The sequence below is a fragment of the Homo sapiens genome, chromosome 5 (assembly GCF_000001405.40).
Source record: "Homo sapiens chromosome 5, GRCh38.p14 Primary Assembly".
In the NCBI taxonomy this organism is placed as follows: Eukaryota; Metazoa; Chordata; class Mammalia; order Primates; family Hominidae; genus Homo; species Homo sapiens.
This window is the reverse complement of record NC_000005.10, coordinates 83052306-83080061: the sequence shown is the minus strand read 5'-3', so window position 1 is coordinate 83080061 and position 27756 is coordinate 83052306. Positions and strand designations below refer to the sequence as shown.

At 36.2% G+C, this 27756-nt stretch overlaps 2 protein-coding genes and 1 non-coding gene across 13 annotated transcripts in view, besides 5 other annotated features; 2 read left to right on the top strand and 1 right to left on the bottom strand.

Moving 5' to 3' along the window:
• Positions 1-2515, bottom strand: part of XRCC4 (X-ray repair cross complementing 4) — a 296927-nt gene extending 294412 nt beyond the window's left edge. For 6 of the 11 annotated variants that reach the window (XM_047417695.1, NM_001318012.3, NM_022550.4 and 3 more), the window contains exon 1: positions 2400-2515. The gene's annotated coding sequence lies outside the window, so the exon portion shown is untranslated. The remainder of the gene's footprint in view (positions 1-2399) is intronic. The other 5 variants (XM_017009827.3, NM_022406.5, NM_003401.5 and 2 more) reach the window with 1 other exon arrangement.
• Positions 1621-2586: an enhancer, noted in NCBI's record as "NANOG-H3K27ac-H3K4me1 hESC enhancer chr5:82373295-82374260 (GRCh37/hg19 assembly coordinates)". NCBI's record gives its function as "activates a minimal SCP1, AML or CMV promoter by ChIP-STARR-seq in naive H9 embryonic stem cells {active_cell/tissue: H9 hESC(naive)}" and the evidence as "EXISTENCE:reporter gene assay evidence [ECO:0000049][PMID:30033119]".
• Positions 1621-2600: a biological region, named in NCBI's record as "NANOG-H3K27ac-H3K4me1 hESC enhancer GRCh37_chr5:82373295-82374260".
• Positions 2511-2600: a silencer, noted in NCBI's record as "silent region_16151". NCBI's record gives its function as "represses an Ori minimal core promoter by ATAC-STARR-seq in GM12878 lymphoblastoid cells {active_cell/tissue: GM12878}" and the evidence as "EXISTENCE:reporter gene assay evidence [ECO:0000049][PMID:35858748]".
• Positions 2587-3552: an enhancer, noted in NCBI's record as "NANOG-H3K27ac-H3K4me1 hESC enhancer chr5:82372329-82373294 (GRCh37/hg19 assembly coordinates)". NCBI's record gives its function as "activates a minimal SCP1, AML or CMV promoter by ChIP-STARR-seq in naive and primed H9 embryonic stem cells {active_cell/tissue: H9 hESC(naive and primed)}" and the evidence as "EXISTENCE:reporter gene assay evidence [ECO:0000049][PMID:30033119]".
• Positions 2661-2930: an enhancer, noted in NCBI's record as "active region_22740". NCBI's record gives its function as "activates an Ori minimal core promoter by ATAC-STARR-seq in GM12878 lymphoblastoid cells {active_cell/tissue: GM12878}" and the evidence as "EXISTENCE:reporter gene assay evidence [ECO:0000049][PMID:35858748]".
• On the top strand, positions 2668-27216 carry TMEM167A (transmembrane protein 167A). Its single transcript, NM_174909.5, has 4 exons — positions 2668-2741; positions 14945-15054; positions 18151-18185; positions 22908-27216. Exons 1-4 carry the CDS (start codon positions 2739-2741, stop codon positions 22976-22978), a joined length of 219 nt encoding a protein of 72 aa, NP_777569.1. The 5' UTR covers positions 2668-2738; the 3' UTR covers positions 22979-27216.
• SCARNA18 (small Cajal body-specific RNA 18) lies at positions 15725-15858 on the top strand. Its single transcript, NR_003139.1, has one exon.
• Positions 27217-27756: the final 540 nt, after the last annotated feature.

The window sequence follows — 27756 nt, the reverse complement described above, 5'->3', positions numbered from 1 at the left end:
AGTAATAGCCAACACTTTCTGAGTGCTTACTGTATGCCAAACATTTGCCTAGATGATTTACTTGTAATAACTCATGTAATCCTCATAACACTGAGGACACCTGTGCACTGGCGCCACAGAAAACTACAAATATCCACTATTTTTACATACGATTTTAATATACCCATGAAACCAAAGTTGGAAATATTCTTCCAGATGCAGGTGAGATAATACTTTTTGAACAGGCCAGACGTGGTGCGGTGGCCTACACCTGTAATCCCAGCACTTTGGGAGGCCGAGGCGGGAGGATCACTTGAGCCCAGGAGTTTGAGACCAGCCTAGGCAACATAGTGAGCCCTGTCTCTACAAAAAATAAAATAAAATTAGCCAAGTATGGTGGCATGCAACCATGGTCCCGGTTACTGGGGATACTGAGGGAGGAGGATAGATCGCTTCTGCCCTGGAGGTTGAGGCTGCAGTGAGTCATGATTGTGCCACTGCACTCCACCCTGGGCAACAGAGCAAGATCCTGTCTCAAAAATAAAAATAAATAATAATTTTTGAACAAAGGAATAACACAGACAGATTTTATTTCTAGTAAGGAAAGGATCCAAGATGGTTTTAAATGAGGATTCACTGCAAAGCTGCCAGAAAGATTTTAGAAATTGTGATATAATCTGAAAACCAAAAAGTAGGGGGTTTATGTAAGACAATGGAGCTAAACTACCACCTCCCAAAAAAAACTCACCACGTCAGATTAACTTTGATGTTTTACATAAATGCAATAAACATTATACATATTTGTTCAGCCTCATTTATTGGCATATGTGTTTCTCTATAGATAACTTAAAAACTGGCAATGCCGTTCTTTACTGTTTTGAAGCTCAGGTACATAAGAAGTCATAGCCTAAAATTAATTAAAATATATAGATATAGCAAATCAATTGTGATCTCTAACAAGTTAAGCTTTCTGATGCTTTTCACAGGTAGCCTGAAGCAGAGCTTCATACAGAAGTATTACCTTTATATGTAACAAAGATCAAGACAATCTTCACATGAAACCAAGGGCAGTTATGTCTACAGACACATTTACTGCCCTAAAAGCCAAGCTCGATAAATTGCACAACATAATTTCCATAACTAAACCAGGTTTGTTTAATTTGAATGGCAAGACCTAAAAGGTATAATATAAAGGAATTACAAGACAGAACATTAAAAGACTTTTTTTATCCTTAGGTGGAGAGTACTGTATCTTTTAAATACCTTTCTTATTCCCCTCTCCCCCAACCTTATTAAATTCCTTAAAGGAACAGACCATCTTTGTTCCTATGCTGCAATCTGAAGATCCATGAATAAAGCAGGCACCCAGTAAATACTTGCTAATTTGTGTATTTGACCAACTCTTGACAATTCAATATAACAGACTCAAATATCAAGTTAGTTATAGTTTAAAACAAAACCTTTGTGTGCCCTAGTGAACAATGTAAACACAAATAGCAGAATCCCAAATCTTCTAATCATTGTGTTGCCCTAAATACAAAAGGGTCTCATAGGCCGAATACAGTTCATAAACCAAAATCTCACGTGAGTTACCTTCTCTCTTTCTCTCTATCCACCTTCTAAGTCCATAAAAAATTGAAAACATTCTGAAAAGAACTCTCTCCTGCCTGAGAAAAAATACACCACACATTTAGAACCAAAAGCTTGCCATAAGGGGGCAAAGAGTGAAAAACTCTCATTTCTAATACTTTATTAGAATTCCAAGAACTACGCAAATTCAAACATGTCAAAGCGCCTGTTTCTCCATCGATAAAATGCAGAAAGAAAAACGTGTGTGTGTAGTAGAACCTCACCTAATGGGATAATTAAAATCAGAAAAAGCTAAATACTACTACTGATTAAAAGTTGCCTTGTCATTTGTCTTGCCAGTTGATCTCTTTAAAGTACCTAATCAATCGCTGCAGTCCGCAAACGGCAGTTCCTTCCCATTGGTTACCACAGAAAGTTCTTTCCTGACCTCAAATTGCCTAGTACGTTTCAGCCTCGATGCCTGGTTGGAACCCACAGTTTACCAATATCTGGGGATTGAAAGGACAGGCCAGTGCTGGGGAAATGCTCAAACAGCCTACTCAACACTACCCTCTGGATTCAACCGTCCTCCCAATCCCACAACCAACACAGAGCATTTCAAAAGTGCTTCGCATTCCCAAGAATCCCTCAGATGCAAACGGAGAAACTGAAAAGGGGGTGAACAGGTCGCACCCTGAGGATAATGCCGAGAACCCTAGCATCCCCAAAAGCCCACAAGAGGAAGTCGCGGGAGCTCACAAATTGAGGGGGATTCTCGCATTGTGGAGTTCTAGGGGTAAGTAGCAGGGAACTTTTTTAAAAAGAAAGCAAAAAGATAAAAAGAACAGAACCTCAGATTTTTGTTATTTAAAGAGGCAGCCCCACTTCCGGATCCTACCTCTCCGTGACTCTACTTCCGGTATCTTCCAAAACGCCCGCTTTCACAGATCAAGGTTTTGCAACCAATGAGAGTATCAGCTACTTCCGCCGGCCTGCGGGACGTGATCTAAATCCCGCCTTTTCCGGTGGAGAGGAGCCTATCCTAGTGTCTTAACCGCCCGTCTTGGTAGGCGGTGCCGTGACAAGCCCAACCGGACGGCTGGAGAGGGCGAGAAGGGCAGACGGGACATGCAGCCTCTTCCGCCTGAGCCCCGGAAGGGTGATGTGGCTGCGGCATCGCCGGCCTCGCTATGGTAAGAAGTGGGGCTCCCAGGTCGCGGTTGATCTTCGAGAAGGGGTTGTGGATCTAGACTAGGGCTGGAGTTTGTGCGGCAGCCCGGGGTGTGTGGGCCCGGAGCTGAGAGGCCTTGGAGCCATGTGGTCCCTCCACGGCCAACCAGAGAGAATCAGGACGGACTGTCCGAGGAAGACTGCTGGGTCGGCAGCCCGCCCCTCATGCAAAGTCCGCTTTCCTACTTTGTTTAGGAAAAAAAAATGCGTTGGTGTGTTTTAACACGTTGGCTACGTAGATTATGTGTGGTCATTGACCCTTTGAAGCATTAGCGCTTCTCGAGTTTCCGCTTGTTTTGTTGCAACTCCTTATCTCGCCCTAGGGGCTTTACTCTGGTGTTATTGTTTGATTTTTGGGGGGAGTTTCTTTTGGCACCAAACTCCATACCTTCATTTTCATCTGTTTAGTCAGTAGCCTCTCAAGACCCTTCCACCTTCTTCTCTTAACTTTGAAAATGCTGCTTTACAAGCTATAGGTTTTAATAGTTAAGAGTTCTCTGCAAAGGTGGATTGCCCTTCTAGGAGCTTAATGTACTTATTGGAGTGGTGTCTAGCCTCAGGCCTTCCTCCTCTTTTACCTCCAGGTCCATGTGCCAAATGTTATGTATATTTCTGGACAAAGGATGCATGCCTGCAAATAGACCCAAAAACAACTATGACTCCAAAAAGCTTGAGTCTCCATGGTGAAAAATTATGAGCCTATGTTCACAGAAGTTGCTGCAGAATCCCATATAGCAATAATTCATTTTCTTCTCTGGACGAATTTACCACCTGGTGGGAAGATGGCAGTTGAGACTAGGAAGACTGCCACTCTTAATTCTTATACATCTTTCTAGAAACTGAAGTTGAATTCTTCTACTCGTAGTGCAAGTCAAAGATAACTCTTTTTATTATCTCACTGTCAGACTAGCTAAAAATAAGATGCATATACTGTGCTTAAGATCAACAGTATATAAACTATCTTGTCATGCTTGTTTTTCCAAAAGTAGCAAATGCTTTCATTTATTATCACGTCCTATGTACCAGGCTCTTTTCAAAAAATCAGTTTATAAGCATGGAAATATCAAGTTCACAGCAACTTCTGAATAGATGTTTACAAGTGAAAGAAGTGAAACATGAAGAGACTGACTTGCCTCGGATCACACCTAGTAGATTGTAAAGCCAGTACTCAAACTTATTTTAATGTCCAGGTCCCCGAAATCTTCATGCTGTTATCGATAGAAACACAACATAACTAAGGATGAAATAAGACTTAGTGATTTGTTTCTTATAAATATAAGTACATAAATTAGACATAGGTGGAAAACGGAAACAACTGGCAGGTGGTTTTTTATTCCTGTGAGCTTGGGATGTCAAAAGTACATTGTTTGCAGAGCTACGAAGTGAGGTTTCAAGAAGGCTAACTTAGCAGCTTAAGAAATGGATTAGTGTCTCAGTATCTTTGAGTTCGCATCTAAACTTAGTTTATTTGTGAGGTAACCCAATGGTAATGACTTAATAAACCTGAATTACTGTATTTTAATGATTTTTTTTTTTTTTGAGATGGAGTCTCCCTCTGTTGCCCAGGCTGGAGTGCAGTGGCATAATCTCAGCTCACTGCAACCTCTGCTTCCTGGGTTCAAGCAATTCTCCTGCCTCAGCCTCCCGAGTAGCTGGGACTACAGGCGTGCACAACCACGCCTGGCTAATTTTTGTATTTTTAGTAGAGACGAGGTTTCACCATGTTGGCCAAGATGGTCTCGATCTCTTGACCTCGTGATCCTCCCACCTCAGCCTCCCAAAGTGCTGGGATTACAGGCGTGAGCCACCGTCCCCAGCCAAGAATCTTTTTAAAAAGCATTTCAAGGATAAAATGTTTATCAGCAGTAATAATTTACAACTGTCAGCATGAACAGTAATTGTAGCACTTGTGAATTAATACTTTTAAAGAATTTCAGAATGCCTTGTTCCCCCCAACACCTAACATCCTTCAACATTTCTCTCATGTCTCATCTCTTTCCAAAAAGCCTCCCTTAACCCCTTCTATTTTCTTCTACTCTCTTTAGGTATCTATAGGGATATTCCTAGTTCATATGTATACTTCCAGTATCCCTCTAGCATAACCCTTTTCACAGAAAACAGCAATAAGGTGTTGCCTGCATTTCTCCCTCTCTAGGCAGAATTCTTAAAGACTAGGTATTTTAATCTCTACAGTCACAGTGCCAGCTGGAGTTATTACTCCATTAAGAGTCTGGGCCTGTAATCTCAGCACTTTGGGAGGCCAAGGTGGGTAGATCAACTGAGGTCGGGAGTTGGAGACCAGCCTGACCAGTGTGGAGAAACCCCATCTCTACTAAAAATAAAAAATTAGCCGGGCGTGGTGGCACATGCCTGTAATCCCAGCTACTTGGGAGGCTGAGGCAGGAGAATCACTTGAACCCAGGAGGTGGAGGTTGCGGTGTGTCGAGATTGTGCCATTGCACTCCAGCCTGGACAACAAGAGCGAAACTCCATCTCAAAAAAAAAAAAAGAGTCTGGGGATACAAACATGCTCAGTGTCTTCAAGGATTTCACAGTCCAGTGGGGGAAATTATTAAATAAGTAAATTCCATCTGTTGTCTGCTATGTTGTAGCAAGACAACACATGTAGTAGAGAGAGCATGGGTTTAGACTGAGCCAAACAGAGTTAGAATCATTTCCAGTTCCGAACCTTTACTTGGTTAACTCTAAGGGAGTTTATTTTCATGTCTTTTTCTTGGTGCACTAAATGATTTTCACAAACTCTGCAAAGCAGGAATGATTGCCCACATTTCATAATTAAACTGAGTCTCCAGAGAATAGATGTGAAGTATTTTCTCTCCTCTTATAGCAGAAGATATGTAGAAAATCATTAAACACAGTGGAAGGAGTAGTACTGGCTGGGAACTGCTTGAGAGATGTCCCCAAGAAAGAAGTAATTCTCTCTCACCTGTACTTTAAAGAGTATTAGGGAAGGAGTCATTAGCTAGAGGTGGGACAGCAATCTCTATCCCGTAGATAAAGGAAATGGCAGTTATGGGAACAAAAGGCATGAAGTTCAATAGTTGCATGGAGCCTTAATGTGGCAGGAATAAAAAGAAGTCAAGTATAGTGGACTGGTGATAGATGAGGCTAGAAAGATTGGGGCCAGATTTTGAAGAGCTTTGTGCCATGCCAAAGACTTTATATTTTGATGATGTTTAATTGCTTACTTGATAAAGGCTTTGGAGCAGGGAAATAAAAGGTGTGCATTTTAGAAAACCAACTGGTAACAACATAGAGTATATTTAAATGGAGGAAGATTAGAATCTGGGAGACCAGCTTGAAAACAAGTGCTGTAGTTCAGGTATACAATGATTGAATGTCTCAACTCTGATGAGCAGTTGGGTTGAAAGGAAAGGAAAACTAGGAAAATCGTTTTGAAGATACTTAATGAAGGGTGATGAAGCACAGCTCCAGCTTGGATGATTTATTGGATGGGAAAGAAATACAGCAGATCCTCAATAACGTGTATGAGGAAGAAACTCCATTCCCAATTGCACGTTGTCTTCATGTCTGTTCTTCCCATGTCTGCATGGATTTTCTCTTGGTACTCCAGTTCCCTTCTACATCCCAGAGATATATACAATGGGTTTGTTGAGGTGTCTACACTCTCCCAGTTTGAGTGCTCTGCACTGGAATGATGTCCTATACTCCAGGCTACTGGGATGGCTCCCGGCACCGTCAACACTGAACTGAAATAGCAAATAGCCAGCTATCTTACTTGTTTTTATTAATCTTTCTTAAGTGGATGTATAACTCACATTTACTTCAGTGTTGAATATTAGAAGGGTTTTGATATTGATTTGGAAGTTTGGTGATGCTTTTGTGACTAGAAATATGCCATCGGAACTTAACTCTTGTTTATATCAATTCGCCTATGGTAAATTTTTTTTGTTATATATCTTTTGGCTTAAAGTTGCATTTTCCAAGGACCTGTGGATGACGTTAAGTGAGGGCTTACTGTTTTCGTTAAGCACCTACTCTGACAGGTGTTTTATTTTACATACAAGGTTTTATTAAAGTCGTATTATTGGCCACATTTTTCATATGAAGAAACAGATGCGGAGAGCCAAGTGTCTTGCCCAACATCACACTGCTTATAAATAGCAGAGCTAAGATTTAAACGGAACCAATTTGTCACGAAATGCTGTGCCCTTTCAACTATGCAACAATACCATTAATTGCACAAAAATATTAAGAAAAGCAAATTTTTTATGTCAGGAGTGGGTGAGGAGGTAGCAGTTCAGATAATTCTGTTGCTAATATTGCTTTTGCATCATCCATGAAAATGGCATCACAGTTAAAAGGCAAGTATCTTAGTATTATAAAAATAGTTCTGATCTTATGAACCCATGAAAGGGTTCCATGAACCACACCTTTGATAACCACTTCATTAGGCTAATAGGAATCTGATGTGGGTGCTGATCTTCTCTAGCAAAGCTTTTGAATACTGATTGCAAAGAAAAACTTCCAGGAGGCTGAGGCAGGCATTCGAGACTAGCCTGACCAACATGGTGAAACCCCATTTCTACTAAAAATACAAAAAAAACTAGCCGGGCTTGGTGGCGTGCACCTGTAGTCCCAGCTGCTCGGGAGGCTGAGGCAGGATAATTGCTTGAACCCAAGGGGTGGAGGTTGCAATGAGCCGAGATCATGCCACTGCACTCCAGTCTGGGCAACAGAGTGAGACTCCATCTCAAAAAAAAGCTTTCAGGGAATTTTAAGAAACTGTAGGTGCCCAGACCAGTTAAATCCAAATTTCTGGGCAATGATGGCTTTTTAAGCTCCAAGTGGTTCTAATAAGCAGTTAGATTTCATACCATATGATAGGACATTTTATCAGTTTTTGTTTTTTTCTTGATTGCAAGGTCAGAGGACTTTACAGCAGGCTTTGCTCTTTTCCTTCAGAATACTGTCTCTTGTCCAACCTTTTTATCAAAGACATATATGGAGCATTTATTCTAATTTTTTTTCACTCTACCATTTATCATTGTTTTGCGTATGCCTTCTCTAACTCTTGACACCCTTTTGCCTTATCTTTAGATCTGAGGTTTATATAAAATAGCTCCAAAACAAAGCAGCACAAACAGCAAATTAATTGTAGGTACCATGATAATGAGATGAAAATAACTACAAAATCAGTGTTGCCAGTGGAAAACAGAGTTCAAGCGCTTCTACTCTGTACTGTAGTTTTACTCATCATATCCATGAAAGTTGTTAAATGGAAAGTATTAAGTAGAAAATGTCTCTGTACATTTTTAAAATATGACTGGTGAGAACAAATGGTTGTTTAATCCAGCCCCCACATTTTACAAATGAAATGAAACTGACAAGTGGAGATGTGAGATGTTGATTCACCTAAGGTCAAATTTTTATACTTGGATTACTTCATTAACCCAAATATTTTGTGGCCACTGTTGCTGAGAAGAGATGGGTGATGGGTTCATATCTAAATATTAATCAAGCCTGATTTCTTGCTCTCAAATTAAACTGAGGTTACTTGCCTATTTGGTGCAATATCATCACCCTACCACGTGATAAGCAACAAAGTTTAAATTTATACGCTAATAATGCCAAAAGAAAATGTTGATAATTTTTATGTATTAGTGGAAATCTTTTCAACCAATTCTGGTCACTTTTTTTGGGCAAATTATATATATGTGTGTTTGTGCATTCATATGCAGGCTAACATTCTTGCATTTTCATGTTTTGCATTTTAAGAGACTAGTTGGAAAATGCTGACCTGACCTAGATTTTCTGAATGATAAATGCTGACCCACTTTTCTAATGCTGAATAATTTTGATCACAATTAGGTCAGGAGTGTCATTTCTGTGTTCCCTTCCACCCCCAAAAAGGGATAAACTAGTTTCATGTAAAAGAAGTAAGTATTAATACAAGTAAAATTGTTACTATTTGGAGTTTTTAAATGTTGTCTTTTATATTAATTTTTGTTTTAAAGCTGGAGGAATTAGTATGTCAGTAAAAATTTATTCCCCATATAGGAGGCAGTCAACATTTGAAGCTTCAACACAGTGTTATGTATAAATAAGCCCCTTAATCAACAAATTTGCTAAACAATTTGTTTAGTGCCCAAGTGATCCAAGACTAATAAAAGTACTGTAGATTTAGTCACCCCTTTCTGCAGATTAAGTATGCTTAATAACCAGTCATTAAGCACTCTAGCCACAGCTTGTTTAGCATATTGATGTGTATATTTCTTCTGCTTTTCTCATTGTTTCTTTCTTTTTGCATTTTTATATTGCTTGGATAATTCCTTTTTTCCTTCTTCTATTCCTAATGTTTTCAGTGGTTTCTTTTTAAGATTTCTTATTTGAAAGTTTTGTTAATAAATACCTTGAGCTCTTAGACTTAGAAGTATTTTATTCGTCTTTTTTAAAAATCTCCTATATTGAATTCTTACTTATAATCAGAGTTAATGAATATAATTTTAGTGTTCAGAAATGACTCTGAAAATGAGAAATTTCATCTTAATAAATAAAATGATTTTAAAAATCTAAAAACTAATTTTTCAAATAGACTTGAAAATAGAACATTTTTTAGAGGTTTGTCAACATTGTAAGTAATTTCATGTCTAGACCCCTTCCTTAGCTTTGTATTGACCTTGCATCTATTCATTGATTAATTATTGCATCTCCTGTAGTGGTGGCCAAATAAAGTCTGTGAATTATTTTTATTATTTCAAAACACCTAACCAAATGTGATTTACTTCAAAATGATCAAATAAAGTAACTGACTCAAGTTTATATCCTTCCGGTTTGGGTAAATTAACTCAGTTCAATAACACTAGTTGTTTCAAGCATATCAAAAGATCTTATTGATTATGAGTTGTCAGATAAGTCTACAATGCAGAGGGTTAGTAAAAGAGCCCTTGATGACAAATCGTTTGGAGGCCTCCATTGCCATGTTTTAGAAGAATGACATAGCTCTCAGAGTAATGGTCAAGATAACCTGCGTACTCAGTCTTACAGAACCTGCGTACTCAGTCGTACAGATCTTTTGAAAGTGTATATCTCTTAAGAATTAAAAGAAGTCAGAAGAACACACACTTTCCAGTGTGCAAGCACCTTCAAAGCTTGCTGCTTGATAGAATAGAAAATCTGAATTCCAGGAGGTGATAGAAGATGTGGATACTGAATGGAAATTACCTCAGGTCTTTATTTTACCCTACAGCCTAGGTCCTTAACATAAATATAAGGAAATTTGCATCTTTCTACTTGATTTTCCAAAATATTCTTGAGAAGTAAGCATATATGCAAAGCCATACATGGAGGTTTCTCTTGAAGAGTTAACAAAATACTGTATTCAGCAATCTGATCTACACTGGTTTTTGAATGTGTATTTTTTCTTTGGAATCCAAGTATGCTCTTGGATTTGTTAAAATGTTCATTATTGCCAGTTGCGTTCAAGTTCCTGTTCATTTGACACTTTTCAGTGACTTCTCTGTGTACTATATTTTAATAGTCACAGGGGATTGATGAAAACCTCAATAGAATAGACAATCACAGTACAGTATGATGTGTTCTATAACATACACATTGTTATGTGTATGTATTATGCACATACAAAAATCCTGACTCTGCTTGGTATAGTGAGTGGGAACAGGAAAGACATCAGAGGAGGTGAATCTTGAGTTGAGATTGGACGCATGAGTCAGTTCACCAAGCAGGCAAGAACAGATAGCATGTGCAAAACTCAATAGAGTACCTTGGAAAAGGTTTCATGACTTAAAGGCCCTGAAAAAAATTAAACAAGGTAAATGAATTTGACTTACCACCTTTTAATCATCTTTTCCTCTGTTTTGTGATTAAATATGCTTACCTTTTCTTAGATTCCTCCTTTCCCTTTTAATAACATTTTTCTGTTGAAAATTGCAATTATTTTTTCACTGAAGAGGAACATCTGTTTCCTTTAACCCTGAGACTAAAATTTTATGTCACCAGACAACAGATGCTAAGCATTAAGGGGAATGCTATAGGTGGCAGGCTAATGTCCGTAAGTTAGAAACACACTTTTGACCAGAGTCTGAGTACATCTAAAAGACTTACCACCTAAGATTATTTGTTTTAAACTTTAGAGGCTTTAAACCCCCAGAACAAAGTTGTATATATCATATATTTCATACTTGTAAATGGTTTTCTTTTGTAAATGGCTTCACACACAAACGTATATACACACTCTACTTTCCTAATAGGCATGTTTTTAAGTGCCTTTTTATCTTCTATTATGAAAACATTCAAACATAAAGAGGTAGAAGCCTATAATGAACCCTCATATTCTCAGCATTTTATCATCAACCCTACCCCTCTCCCACCACACATGCACTGGATTATTTAGAAACCAATCCTGAACATTATATCATTTAAGCATGTTTTCTTTAAAAACACATTTGGAGAAGGAAAGAGAACACATTACAAAGTCATGAATTTAGATACTGCATTAGGAAAATGATAAACCTACTTTGAAGATTTGTTTTCCAACCATTTTACTGTAGGAATCTTTTGCTTAAAATACAGTAAGATTCTCATTATTCCCTGAACGTGCCAATGACTTTTTCTGTAGGGTTTTTTTCCCACATTTTTTTTTCTCTTCTGGAGCTTGCTATTTGCCCATCTGAATGGTGCCCTTTCAAGGTTTGACTCCGTTCCTGCTTTCTACATGAAGCTTTTCCTGACTTTTTCTTACAAAAATGGCATTTTTTGTCTGCATAACTCACTTCCACATTCAACAATGAGTTACTATTTACTTTTTAAAGTACATGCTCTGTTTTCACTTGATTACTTGATTATAACTGCTGTGTGCCTCAGTCTCATGTATAAAATACAGGTAATAACAATCATGAATAAAATTCAGGTAATATTTACCCCAGATACATGAGGATAACATAAAACAAGTACTCAGTGAATATCAGTAATTGCTATTGTTAGCCATAAACTCCTGTAGGGAAGGAATCATACCATGTGCCTTTTTTTTAATCCCCACTGCCTCATTTCTCAGACAAAGTGGATACCAAATACACATTTAGTTATGTTGGGAGGAAATCTGCTTTATTTTCTATGAGGTCATTATCCAATATTATTTATTAATATATTCACATACATATTCAAAATATGACCTTTGAAAGATAAGCATTGTGAGATACCATGCTTTTTATCTACAATTGATCATGAGCTAATTCATTGATTTATGTTATAAAATGTGTATCACTGGCTTTCACAGGTTTAAGATTAAAACCCAATTTAATTAAAACCCAAGATACATTAAATTTTATCTTTGTTATATCTATGAAAAAATAATGCATAGAAAAACAAGTATTAAACTGGTAATTACAAATCATTTTTGTCTTTTTCAGACCATAAAAGTGTCACTTAGACAATTTGAGAAATCTAGAAAAGTTGAGAATTAGATTAAAAACTATCTAGAGATGGCTCACGCCTGTAATCCCAGCACTTTAGGAGGCCAAGGTGGGCAGATCGCTTGAGATCAAGAGTTTGAGTCCAGCCTGGCCAACACAGCGAAACCCTGTCTCTACTAAAAAAAAAAAAATACAAAATTTAGCCAGGCGTAGTGGAGCATGACTGTAATCCTAGCTACTGGGGAGACTGAGGCAGGAGAATCACTTGAACCCACGAGGTGGAGGTTGCAGTGAGCCAAGATCCCACCACTGCACTTCAGCCTGGGCAGTAGAGCAAGACTCTGTCCCTCCACCCCCCACCAAAAAACTATCCACAGATAATCACAGCATTTTCACACTTTCTTTGCATAAAAGTTTACATACCTTAAGATGTGCTGTCTGAAATCTTTGATCCCCTTTTGCCTACTGCTTAGCATTGTGCATAAGCACTTTTTGTCCTTGAGAATATTGGTAAATAATGTATATAGTTTTTTAATTTTTTCAGTAGTTTGCATGTATTTATCATAAAAATATAGAAAAGATTCAAATGACATTGGAACAGTTTCTAGTGTCCATTTTTTTGTTTTTAAGATTCTCCTGGCTATTCTTGCCTTATTTTTTCCATATGAACTTCAGAATTAGTTGTCTGTTTAAAAGATAACTTGTTGGTATTGGGTTCACTTTAAATTTATAGGTTGTCTTTACAATGTTGCCTTCCAATATAAAAATCTGGCATACCAGGTTTCTTAATCCATGTTATGTTGCTATTTAAAAAAAAACTGAAATTGGGTAATTGGTTAAGAAAAAAGGGTCACTTAGCTCTCAGTTGTGCAGGCTAAGAGTAGTAGGGCTTGGCCCTCCTGGGAAGGGCTTTTATGTTGCATCACAACATGGCTGAGAAGGTCAAAGGGGAAACAGACCTGGTGAAAAGGAGGGAGGAGCATCATGGCTTTATAACAACGTGCTCTCTCCGGAAAGAATTCATTTCTTGGAAAACTAATCCAGTCTTGTGAGATCTCACTAATGAGAAGAGCACCCTGACATTCATGGGAGATCTACCCCCCACCACCCCGTCCCCAAACCCAAACACCTCCCACTAGGCCCCACTTCCCAACACTACCTTACTGGGGATCAAATTTCAATCTGAGCTTTGGTAGGGATGAAAAACCATTTCTAAACCATAGCAACAGTCTCTTCTACTTTTATGTTCTTCCATATGTTTTAAGATTTTGTCAGTTTTTTTCTTTGATGCCAATGTTGCACATTTCTTGTTAAGCTTATTCCTAGATATTTTAGCTGTTCGTTCTGGATGCTATCTTTTTTCCATTGTCTTTCTCCTGAATGATAATATGATTATGAAGGCTATTGATTTATATATTTTAATTATGTACCCAGCCACCTTACTCAATTTCCTTAAGATCTATAACTGTTTTTCACTAAATTCTTTAGGACTTTTCAAGTAAGCACTCAGCCGCAAGTACCAATTTTGTGTAACTAAGTTTTCTCATGAGTCATTCTTTGTTTCATTCCTGATTTTTTTGTTTGTTTTTTAGAAGGTGCCTCTAAGTTTACTAAACAAGCATATTGCTGGCTGTTGTGTGAGATTGACATATTTTATCTCCCTGTATATGATGAAAATGTTATTCTTTGTTATATATACACAGTAATATTCTTGCACTTTCTTAATTTCATTTTATTTTTTTCAACTCTCTCTTATTGGGCTTCTAGTGTGAGACAGGCATATGATTGGTGCTGGAGATTCAGAGTCTGATAATCTGATAACAATGTCTACCCTTCAGAAATGAATATTATAATAAAGGTAACAGTTTGCTATGAGACTAGAAAAGAGAGTTCTACATAAAATAAGAGAAGGGAGGCAGATGGATTCAAGGAAACTTCCTTAAAAAGGTGATGCTAGAGCTGAATTTTGAATAGAATAAGTCCACCTCCATTTACTTTAACTGGAAACCTATGATTTTGTTTGACTGTGGAAACTTATGAAACTTATGGTTTCTTATGACTCTTGTGTTAAATTTTAACTTTGGAATAAGACTCAAACTATTAAATACAAGCTAAGTATCTTTTTTCCAAAATGCTTGGAGCCAGGAGTGTTTTGGATTTCAAATTTTTGGTGGGATTTTGGAATAATTGCATTATACTTACTCGTTGAGCATCTCTAATCAGAAATCCAAAATGCTCCAATGAACATTTTTTTTTTAGCATCATTTTGGCACTCAAAAAATTTTGATTTTGGAACATTTTGGATTTTGGATTAGAGATGTTCAACCTGTAATGAATAACTTTTAAAAATCCAACAGTGAAAGTACAGGTGCTTGCTTTCTTTCTCCAAAATCTATTAGCCTAGTATTTGTCAACTCATGGAAAATTATAGCTTAAATTTAAAGGATGTTTATCCTTAAAAAAATTCAGAATTAAAAGAAACTTAGCTAGCATTTAAGTCTGTCTGCCCATTCTCCGCCCAGCCAAAGACTTAGAAAAGCTAGTAATTCTGCTAAGGCCATAAAACCAGCTATTGGCAGAGCTTGAAGACTGTAGAAGACCTCAAGATTCTGGTTTTAAGTGTTGCCAGACTTGTCATTCTGCTTGCCTTCTTGAAGAAATAAAAACATGACTCTAAATGTGGAATTGTCAAACATTTTTTACCTATGCAGTTTTTCTTGATATTAATTTTTCTTTTTTTTTTTTCTTTTTAGTCTGCCATTTTCAATTTTCAGAGTCTATTGACTGTAATCTTGCTGCTTATATGTACCTGTGCTTATATTCGATCCTTGGCACCCAGCCTCCTGGACAGAAATAAAACTGGGTATGTTACTAATGATGTCTAATCACCCAAATTAGTTCTTACAAATGTTCAATGTAAGTTAACATATAAATTATTAGATAATTTAATTCCTACATGTAATTTGGTTTTATAATAACTTTTTTCATTTTCTTCCTGTTAAAAATTCAAAAACTTTATATTCACAATATCTTACTAAATTAAAAGGTAAATTTCAGAAGTGACCTAAAATGTGTTAAGAGTAAAAAATCGCATGAGGGATTTAACCTACTGAAGGTGAAAATAGATGTTAGTTGTCCATCAGTTTTTATGATAATACTCCATCTCCTTGTAGACACTGTCTTCTCTTCATTCCACCTTTTTCAGTAAAGTCCTGTTGAATTTATTCTTCAGTATTCACCCATTTGTTGAAATTACGTTATTTGTTGCTTGGCTGTGCATGAAGTCTTTCTATCCAAGTAGACAGTTTCATTGTATCTTTCCCTTCTGTACCCGCCAACTGTAAACTTAGAATTAAAGCATATGGTAGACTCTAGTAAACACTTATTCCTATTGATGACTTTATTGGAATTCTAATATAATGCATAATGTCCATCTAAGATATTTAAGTGTTTATCTCATTAAAGAATAATTACATAGTAGTAGAATACTTTCCCTATGCTATCACGAAAATTCTTCTTCAAAAGCAAGTAGGTTGCATGTGGAAATGTCTGCTTCTCATTCCTTGGGAGCAGGAATATGTTCATAACATGCTACATTAACAAAGGAGTTCTCAGGGCTGCCAACCTTCTAGTAAAGGTTGAGTGGTAGTATATTTCTCCAACATAAAAGACCAAAAAGAGCATGCCTATTTTTACATTTTAAAATATGTACTAATACAGTCAACTGTTTGAAAGCTTTTTTTAAAACCTTTATTTCTACTTATATACGTGTTAAGCACCATTTTATGTTGATTTATAACTAAGAATTATTTTGTATAGAAAATTTTATAGGCCTAGTCTCTTTCTGTTAAAATTACATGTTTTTATGAGACTCGTAATCTTTTATTATACTGAGAATATATACCATGCTTAGGTGGAGATATCTAGACAGATTGGATAAAGCAAGTTCTTGATGACTTCACTGTTTAAAATAACTTCAGTTTTTGCTACTTCAAATAATATAGAACTAAGCAGCAGAAAAAAAGATTACTACATGGTCTTTATCCTGGTTTCATAGACCTGATAGCATTATCAGCAAATATACTTATTGGTATTTAGCCATAATAACTAAGCAACGTAATTACATTTTTTAAATCAACTAACAGGGTTCGTGTGTGTGTGTGTGTGCATGTGTAAGTAAAATTGGGGTATTACAGAAATATATCTAGGTAGAGAAATATGTGGAAAAAACCAAAGTGGTGCTGCTAAGTCTCTGAGTTACCAAGTTAGGGTTCTTTACTCATTTATAAAAGCTGTTAATATGTTAATCCTGTTGTACCAGTTTCTTAATGATATTTTGTTACTTCTAGAATATTAGACCCAAAAAGACCTTGAGTTTGTGATCTTGTGGTTTTCAGTGGGTTCTAGAATGAAGGAGCCATGGCTTTGCAAATGCCTAACCTATTCCATTGTTTGATGAAGAAATGTTAGCCAATTTTAAGTGATACCTAGAGTTATCACATGTATCCTTAGCCTATATATGAACACAGTACATCTAAGTCACCATTCTAAGGACTTTCCGTGTAATCACTCATTTCATCCTCATAACAACCCTTTGAGGGTGGGTCCTTTTGTTAAAGAGATACAATACCTTGCTCACAGTTACGCAACCAGTGAGTAGGATTTAATTTAAGCATAATTTGGCCTTTATTTTAGCTTATTTTCAGGAATGTATATGGGCTTTGTCATTTTATTTCTATGGTAAAATTGTTTAGCCTGTCAGAATATTCATACTTTGAAATAAACTCATGTTTTTGCTTAATTCCATTTAATCTAAACTATGTATATTCCAGTTCATAGCAGTTTCTATACATTGATGGTTGATAGGCTAAGAGACCTTTTGCTTTGAGGTCAGGAAGTTATACTTCAGAGGAGGAACATATATAGAACTTAACTGAACCAGAATTTTCTGTTAGTCTTACCCATTCAGATGTAATGATTCACTAGCCAGCCATCTCTTTTGGTAAAAAAAAAAAAAAAAGTATACTATAAATTTTTCTGGAATTTAAGTATTCTGATTTTCTTGAGATAATAATTCGAATTTACGTAACATAATATTAATTTATCTTAATTTGCAACCATATGTGACACTATTTATAATTCTTTTACTTTGTCAGACCAACTAAGTAGTGTCCTTAGTGTTATTTTTTAAGATATCTCTATTCATTGATGATTCGGTCTTTTTTTAAAGATGATTTGTTATACATGCCAAATAAGTGATTACTCCATATAATATGTAATTCATAATATATTCATTCATACAGTTGAAATATATATCTCCATTCTAATACTTATTCCCAGAGTATGTGCTTTAAATGCCATATTTAGTGAATTCACATAGAGTGTCCTTTAAACTAGAAGATTTTCTACTTATATTGAAAATATAGGCACATTTTTAATTCTTTCTTAGTAAATGACACAGATAAGTAAATACCATCATTGGAATTCATTATTATAGATTATTTAACTTTAGAGCTACATTCTGTAAGAAATTAAAGTTTATTATAAGAGTGTTTTTGGTGTCACATTCAACCAAAAAATGTTCATTTAACATTTTATCAAAATTGATGCTTAAATTGCCATATACATTTTCTGCTTTTGAAAGTAGAGTAAATCAACTGAATAGTAAGCCCTTATGCAAATTTTTGCCACTCTCACTAATTTGCCCTGGATTTGACCTATGACACTATTTATATTCCATTTCATAGCAGTTTCTGTACATTGATGGTTGATATGTCATTGTGTCCTACTTTCATACATGAATGGTGGCTCAACATCAAATAAGGAGATTTCAAATTTGAAGCAAAGTGTTAAAGGTTAATATGTTAATATACAATTAATTCCCTATATGATATCAAGAGAATAATTTACCTTTCCGAGTAATCAATAGCTACTTTTTTTCTTTTTTTATTCTATGCAGATTGTTGGGTATATTTTGGAAGTGTGCCAGAATTGGTAAGTGTCTATAATCTCCCTCCATTTCTTCAGCTGTAAATTGTTGACCAATTTACTTAGGTTATAATCTCACAAGTCAAATGTTAATTTTTAAAGGGCAGGCTTCCCAATTTTATGCATTTTCGCAAAAGTTTATAAGTTGTACCAAGCTCTTTTCCTTATGCTATTTAAAACCACATTTGGGCCAGGCGTGGTGGCTCACGCCTGTAGTCCCAGCACTTTTTGAGGCCAAGGCAGGAGGATTACCTGAGGTCAGGAGTTTGAGACCAGTCTGGCCAACATGATGAAACCCTGTCTCTACTAAAAGTTAGCTGGGCATGCACACCTGTAATCCCAGCTACTCAGGAGGCTGAGGCAGAAGGATCTCTTGAACCCGAGAGGCGAAGGTTGCAGTGAGCCAGATCACACCACTGTGCCCCATCCTGGGCGACAGAGTGAGACTCTGTCTCAAAATAAAAAAAGAATAAAACTAGATTTGGTGGCTACTTCATTAACACAGAGACAGAAAATCTTTCTAATTTAGATATCAAATACCATGCATTCTTGGTATTGGGGGAAATAAATGTATGTGGTTTTATGCACACATGTTGATAGTATAGAAGTATAGAGCATGCTGTTGTGTATAATGTATACCATTTTGATAACTAGGATGTATTCCCATCTAATGAAAGTCTTTCTGAGCAGCTATCTGAACATAATCACTTTATTGCCCTATTTAAATAACAGAATGTTTAACTGTTTTGTCTATTGAACCCATGTGGTCATAGCCGAACTGTTTGACTCGAGTTAAAGTACTACACTTGATCTTAGCTAAAAGGCCAAGAAGCAATTAAAGTTAAGGTAGATGTGGTTGTCTTACAACTTTCCATGATAAGAGATTAGTAGCATCATACATGTTTTTATAGTTAATAATATACTCCTATCCATTCACCCTGTATATGTAACATTTAACACGGTACCCAGCACATAGTAGACTCTCAAATGATTAAGTGAATCAATTAACATGTATTTTATTGCATCATTCATCAGTATTTTTTTTTTTTTTGGAGATGGAGTCTTGCAGTGTTGCCCAGGCTGGAGTGCAGTGGCACGATCTCCGCTCACTGCAAGCTCCGCCTCCCAGGTTCAAGTGTTTCTCCTGCCTCAGTCTCCCGAGTAGCTGGGATTACAGGCACCCACCACCACGCCCAGCTAATTTTTTGTATTTTTAGTAGAGACAGGGTTTCACTATGTCGGCCAGGCTGCTCTCCAACTCCTGACCTTGTGATCCGCCCGCCTCGGCCTCCCAAAGTGCTGGGATTACAGGCATGAGCCACTGTGCCCAGCCATTCATCAGTATTCTTGAATAATAAATTACACCCTTTTTTAACCTTTTTAATTAAAAAAAAAAAAAGACTCCAGACATTTGTACATATACCACTTGGACTGAAATTGAATATTTCTTATCTGTCCTCTTTGGAATCATTTGTATAACCAAAGAAAAATTCTTTTGTTTAGTACTCTTCTTCTAACTTTGAATTTATGCTTAACTACTTTTCTTTCATAAAGCTGTTAGACATTTATAATGAAAAATATTTTTTCTACGTTTGACATTTATTGTTAGCCAGTCTGACAACAGCCTAAATTCTCTCAACTAATCCCTTTTAATAGGATAGAGAATTGAAGAGGCATCTCCATTAGATAAACTGTGTTCCCTTTAGAGTATTGTGTTTTATTTTGGCTTTCAACTTCTCAGAGATGTGGAAAATTTAGAGGATGGTCCATAAAGGAAACAAACTTCATGAGATTGAAAAATACAAACTGTATAGTTTGAAGTCAGGTACTCAATGGGTGCAGCTATTCTTCCTCAGTGTTCTGTCATACTTTGTTCTCTCTTACGGTGATAGGTCTAAGAGTCTTTCTTTTGTAATAAGTATCATTACCTTAAACTGGTAAAATCACAGATATACCCTAGATAAGTAGTTACCACTCTGGGACATTTGACAAAATAGAGAGACAGCTTTGATAGTCACAGCTGGACTCAGGGACATGTAGTGGGTATAGGTGAGGGATGTTGCTAAGCATCCTAGGATGCACAGGGAATCCATCACAACAGAATTATCAAGCTCAAAATGTCCATAGTACTGGAGTGAGAAGGGCTGCTCTAGATTTACAGAAATTTATGGTGCAGACTTATCTGGCACTCAGTTATGAACAACTGCAAACCCTGAAATAATAGGAGAAATCTTAAGCACTTCAAAAAGAACCAAGAAAAGAGTGACAAAATAGCATCCTCAATGGTTAATACTGGTAGTTAGTGGTAAATATAACTATACACACACCAAACCGCATGCTTCAGAGACAAGTTACTCTGAGAAAGAATATGGCCAAGAAACAGTGGTTAAGAATACCTCAAGTAAAGTACAAAGAGAGAACATAATGGAAGAGCAGGTCTGGAGTTAAGAGGCATCGTTTTCATCTCAGTTTTATTAAATTGCTAATGCATAAAGAAAATATTAAGGTATTTTAAATCCATCTTATGTAATGAGAGAAGTGTGTACAGTTCCATTTAGTAGCCAGCCCAAACAGCCCCTTTGTTCACAATTATTGCTTGAAAAGAACATAGCTGAGTTTAAGATGTCTAGTTTGTATCTTTCTTAATGATTTCCTGTTGTATGATCTATTTTTATGTCTGAGTATAAATAGTGTCTAGTGTCCTTTTTTTTTTTTTGCTTGTTATTTATTATTTCCATTTTCCTCTCTTGACTGTATGAATGCTATAGGTTGAATGGTTCATTTTAAATGTTCATTCTTGCCAATTCTGTGAAAGCATTAGCTTTTCATTTTGGCAGAGTGACTTAGAAAATGTTGCTGATATGCTGCTTTCTCAAGCATATGCTCCTCTCTTATCTTGACACAGAATATATCCACAAAGAAATGATACAATTTTAATGGGAAAAGACCTAGCCAAATCATCTTATCATGTTACACATCACATTACAGCAACTGTTTTACATTCACTTATACAGACCTAAGACCAGACAAAAAGTAACATTAAAACCCAAGTTCAACTAAAGATGTTTAGCTCTACCACATGGCAGTCTCTTTTAAGAAAATTAAAAACAGGAAAATTAAATCCACATGTAAATGATAGCATTCTAATTTGAAGGATGAGGAAAAGGGGAACTTCCTCAAAAATTAATTTCCACCATATGGAAAACTTAGGACCGTATTAATTTCTTTTAAGTATTTAATAAGACTCTATGAGATGAGGGTATATAGCCCTAGTAAGAGTGACAGGCTTGCTTACGAAGTCTTTCTGAAATTTATTTACAAATGGGGTTGTTTTTGTTTTGTTTGGTGACTTGGGCTTTTTTCTCCAAGAGAATTAGCATTGTTTACAGATTGTGACCCAAGATTTTTTTTAATTTTAAAAGATTTTTATTTTCAGTTGAGGTGATGGTATTGTAAAAACAGTTTCACTTTCTAGATTTTTTTTAGCCGGAAGGCAGTCCATTAAATGTCTACAGATTAAACAAATACTTTCAGAAAAACCCCAAAAGTTTATTTTTTTGTATGTGTATAATATTTTCTATGGAAATTAACAATGAGCAGACACTAAGACATAAACTCAATAATATGGCAGTGTGAGGTCAGTGAGGAAGCTATAAAAATGAAAATGACCTTGAGAATTTTAGTTAATAAAGATGGTCAGGATGAACATTTTCTAGAGGTAGTTTGCCTAACTTGCTAAGTGGGATAAGGAGTTTCATTAAGAAAGAGTTGACTTTAAACATCATGGAAAAGCACAGGTGAGGGTAGTGTAAACCATCTCTACTAGAGGATGCCAGGCACATACCCAGGATTATTTCTAGAAGTAGTTTCTTCTTCCTTTCTTATACCGCCCTCATGGCAGCATAGAAATGTCTGGTGCTTTATGAATTAGTATAGCCTTGCAGTTATTGAAGGAACAGAGAAGAATAAGATCAATTTGAGTTAACTCACAATGACATGATCTCTATCTGTTTGCGAGACAATTCACAAGCCAGTTTGAGATTTACTTCGTACAAAGGAAAGCATCCAAATACAAGCATTCCTTAAATGCATGTGAAAAATTGACTGATACAGAAGTGGTTAGTTTTAGTTCTACTTTTCTAACCCAGAGTAAGCATACTATCTCAGAAATAGTTTTTCTAATTTTTTTAATTAAGCATTTTAATTTGTCCATTTTTTAAATGCAGTTTTATTGACCATCCTCTCTTTATTTTCATCCATGAATGCTCCCCCTTCCCTGTACCTTTAAGTGTCACAAATTGCTACCAGTAAGGAAAACTGTTGTGTCTTTTTATGGATGGAAGTTTTGTTCTTTTTATAGACAGAAAATAAACAATATTTCTTTGGCCTCAATTGAGTTGAGATCGTTTCTCTTGGATCTCTGTCCTACATTCTGCATTGTATTTTTTAGTGTCTGAGTTTACACAGTGACAAAGAAATGATGCTTTCGAGGTTTTCTAAATATATGAAAAGAAGATCCTCTTAGAAATAAATTGATATATTAATAGTTTAGCCCATTCTGTATTGTACTTGTTTTTTATGTTGCATCTAGTTTTTGTCACTGCCCCACCCCCAATGTGCGGGCCTCCTAGGGAAGAATGTTATCTTGATTCTTATGGTAGTATAACCTTGTCATAGCCAGGTTAGCCACTCAGTTAATCAAGATGAACATCTCCTTTTTTTCAACAGGTGAACGGAAGAGTCCTTATGTTGCAGTATGCTGTATAGTAATGGCCTTCAGCATCCTCTTCATACAGTAGCTGGGGAAAATGCCAGAATGTAGTTGCCATCAGATTTGATTGTGAACAAGGACTGACTGCAGAAAATAATGGAAAGGATGTTTAACTCTTTTATCTCCGAACATTGAATGAGATAAATTTCCAGATGCTGTTCTCTATTTTAATGTTATTGGACCAATGTTCTGTATAAACAATTAAGATGTAACCATTTAATAGTCTGTAACAATCAACCTCAGTACTGTCACTACAATATTACATTCTGCAAATGTTATTCTGTTGTATCAGATACAAAATTTTAGTGAGGTATCTCTAAGGCACATAGTAGAAAACAAAATTGGTTAATTACTCAAGTTCCTTTCACTGTGATTTGGAAATGATTTAATCTTTATAGAATGAGAACCTTTTTTGGACTAGCTTTTTTATTAAAATGGCTCAATTTGTGTTGATAAGGATTGCATTAATATTTAATAGTGCTTGCTTTTCCTCTGGGCACACCATTTTGATCATTAACCAGAGTACCTCTACTCTTAGCAAACTCTAGTTTATGACAAGTATTTAAAATATTTAAAACAAGCTTATGCAGTTCTTAAGGACGAAGGTAAATGAGATGTAACTTAAAAATAGTATTGGGAAAATGTTGATAGTTAACATTAGTGGATTTAGACTAGCCAAATGACATAGTAGGCTCTGAAACATCTTGTCAAGTATATGTATTTTGTGCATGAATTTTTGCTGGAAAGCTGTCTTTCTCTGAAAAACACAACGTTCTTAGAATGAAAAGAACAATTATAAAATAATTATCCTATATGTGTTTTTCATTCTTTTTAGTGTCATGGCTTCAAAAATGAAACATTTATTTTAATTGCCGTAAAGGAACTGTATTTTTGTTTTGTTTTTTAACACAGCACTTTAAATCCAGTTTGTGTTTTGTCAACTTGAACTGGAATCTCTTTTGTTACTTTGGAGGTGATAAATAGTTTTCAAATCTGCTGATTTGTATACTGTGGCACAAGTATCTTTGAACTTTGATAGTGAAAGGAGACCTTCAACAATTTTTAGTCTAGGCGAGAGGAATATTAGGAATGTGACTTCTAAATTTTACAATAGAGCAGTTATTTTAAGGTCATGGTTAACATTTCTTAAGGTTCAACTAAAATTCAGTTAAAATTTCAGAGCTACGAGGAACTTAAATCTTAGCTAAAAATTACCTGTTGTAGATAGTATTAATTAGATTGTTTGCAGCTATTAATTCATCATAAAGATAAAATGAAGAAACTCTCCCTTTTTTTAAACAAAAAAAATTATTTCTAGATTAATAGGCTAGTAGTTATTTCTGCAGAAACAACGTATGGAACTGAAAGCCACCTATTTTTATTTTAGACTAATTTAAACCACTTGGAATGGATTCTAGGAAACATCTTAAGCTTGTGTGTTGCCTGTGGTGGTTTTTTGTTTGGGGGTGTTTTTTGGTTTTGGTTTGATTTTCTGTATTTTGTTATCTGGGGATTTTTTGTTTGTTTGTTTTGGTTTGGTTTTGGTTTTATATTTTTGGCATGTCTATGGCAGTTAAAAGTGGTATATTTTGCTTTAGATAGGGAATCAGGTTATAATCATTGTTCTTCCTCTAAACTGCCTCTTGGGCTTTACATCAGGTCAAGGATTTTTAGGGTTTCTCAAAAATAGGATTCTTGTCAGTGTATGCATGCTGAGTAAGTCACCTTTCTGGCTCTAATTTCTGGGTGGCCATCTGTTGTCCAGCTCTGCTGCCAACTGGACTTTCCGAAAGCCATGTCAACTAATTTTTTATATGCTAAGACAAATCGAATATGAAAAGAGGAAGAATATTCTAGATATTCTAAGACATTTCTTAATTTGGCATCTCAGAGGAGGTAGGTGGAAAGTAAAGGAAGAGATAATTTTGGGGGAAAATTTGTGGAAACATACAAAACGTTTTGCTTTGTATAGATGCTAAACAGAGTGGGAGGCAGCATATTTGTAACAACAACCATTCTGACCTTTTGAAACACAAGCTTTTGGAGAAGTCAGGGAGAGACACAGTATGAATAAAAGCAATTAACATTTTCTTTAATGTATATTTTTCAAAGAGGACCACGGAATCCTGTTCTCTAACCCAAGGGGCAGTGTAGGTGGTTTTAAGCCCACAGAATATTGAGATATTTCTCTTGTGGTTTTGGTGGGGTGGTGGGATGCAGAAGGTTATTAAAGATCAATTTAAGCATCAGATAGACTATCCCTTTTATTTTTTTAACTTTTAGGTTCAGGGGTACATGTGCAGGTTGTTATATAGGTAAACTCATGTCAAGTGGTTTTGTTGTACAGATTATTTTGTCACCCAGGTGCTAAGCCTAGTACCCAGTAGTTATTTTCCCTGCTCTTCTCCCTCCTCCCACCCTCCACCCTCAAGTAGGCCCCAGTGTCTGTTGTTCCTTTCTTTGTGTCCTTGAGTTCTCATCATTTAGCTCCTACTTCTAAATGAGAACATGTATTTGGTTTTCTGTTCTGTGTTAGTTTGCTAAGGATAATGGCCTCCAGCTCAGATGGAATATCTCTATCATATAGACCTGTTGTTACAGGGCAGGATCGGATGATGGACACTGAAGTCCTCAGCTTGCTAAGTTCAGTTGCTCTCCCTAGCCTCCTTTTGGCTTCAGAGTCTTTTGATTCCATCTATCCTGGTATTTTTTGTGTGCTGATGTTTAGTTCTGGATTGGCTTCAGCTGTGCTAATAGGAAGGGCGTTGTCTTTTCAAGCAATCTTAAAAGGTGGTCAATCAAAAGGCCAGAGTCTGAATCCCTTCTGTGGCTTAAATAATTTGAGGATCAAGTCCAGTGTCTTGTTAATCCCTGTTCTACTGTGCCAGACACTATCTTGAATGCTTTTATATGTTCAGGTTCAAAATCGCTCTTTCATACCAGGGGATGATAGTAACGTGTAACTTGCAATAGATTCCTTCATCTTAGTAATAAGATGATCAGTCTAGTTAGGACAAAATAGAGATTGAATAAATTAACTTTTCCAAGTTTACAGAGTAAAAATGAGCAGATCTCTGCCTGGTTTTGTGAAAAAGAGTTAGCACTGGTAAATAGAATATTTCTACTCCTACACCATTCTTTCAGTATATCATCACTGAAGACAGGAAGATAGGCACACAGATTCTTCCTCGTAGTAATTCATAGTGCACTAGGTGAAAGAGATGAAGTATGTATTAAAAGTACAATGTGATGGCATTTATTATTCAGATAATCCCAGGATTCTAGAAGAAAATAAAGAAGAGTGACAGTTCAGTTAGGGTGTGAACTTCCAGAGGAGCACTGCTTAAGCTGAACTTGAGAGCATTGTGCAAAAGCACAGTAGTCTGTTAAGAACTAGAAATAACCTAGCTTGTGCCACTTCGGGAGTATTAAGACATAAGCCTAGAAAGGTAGGCAAAGGTTAGATCTTAGACTGTCTTGTATTTTTCTCATTCCTGTTGATTACCTACCTCAAAATTGAATATGTTTTTCCTCCTGCCTAACACAAAACTACTCAAGGGCAGAAATTTAAATTCTTCCTTGGTGTATGTGCAAAGAAGGTTGAATATATTCATGCCTACCTTATTTTGGACTAGGAATACAGTAGTATACTTTCCGAAGACTTGCCTGAATAGTATATAAGGTGGAGGCAACTGACTAGTTAGGTCAGTATTTTTAGAAACTCTTAATAGCTCATACTCTTGATACCAAAAGCAGCCCTGATTGTTAAAGCACACACCTGCACAAGAAGCAGTGATGGTTGCATTTACATTTCCTGGGTGCACAAAAAAAAATTCTCAAAAAGCAAGGACTTACGCTTTTTGCAAAGCCTTTGAGAAGTTACTGGATCATAGGAAGCTTATAACAAGAATGGAAGATTCTTAAATAACTCACTTTCTTTGGTATCCAGTAACAGTAGATGTTCAAAATATGTAGCTGATTAATACCAGCATTGTGAACGCTGTACAACCTTGTGGTTATTACTAAGCAAGTTACTACTAGCTTCTGAAAAGTAGCTTCATAATTAATGTTATTTATACACTGCCTTCCATGACTTTTACTTTGCCCTAAGCTAATCTCCAAAATCTGAAATGCTACTCCAATATCAGAAAAAAAGGGGGAGGTGGAATTATATTTCCTGTGATTTTAAGAGTACAGAGAATCATGCACATCTCTGATTAGTTCATATATGTCTAGTGTGTAATAAAAGTCAAGATGAACTCTCAAGAGCCTCCTACTTTTGTCTTATTGTCAGATATGTGAAAGCAGTTTTTAGAGGTTAGAAAATGGAAATTTCCACCTTTCTAGTAGGATGAGAATAGAGAAATGTTCTATTTTTTTTTTCCTACCTGCATTTGCATTCATGGATGGCCAGGATTCGTTTTGGGGTATTATTTTTATTGTTGTTTTGCATCCTACTAGCTATTGGATCTACTATATTGCTGTTATCATTGAGTATGCTTTGAAGAGCCTTAAATGACTCCAGCAGTTTGCTTTGGGTGTGAAGTCTTTAATTTTCCCAGAGATGGTGGAAATCCGATTCTGAGTGAAAGTGACAGTTATCAATTACTGAGTTATTTTCAACCTTGTCCTCAACTGGGAGCCTTCAGATGCCCAAACATTCTGGCAAGTAACTATTATTTTCTGTCTAAAATCTGTTTGTGAGCATTGTCCATCAGTCAGATTATTCAGCCAATTTATACTATTATTAGTATTTACTGAGAAATATGAAAAGGCTTTTGTCTTGCTTTGAGGAATGTGGTCTTC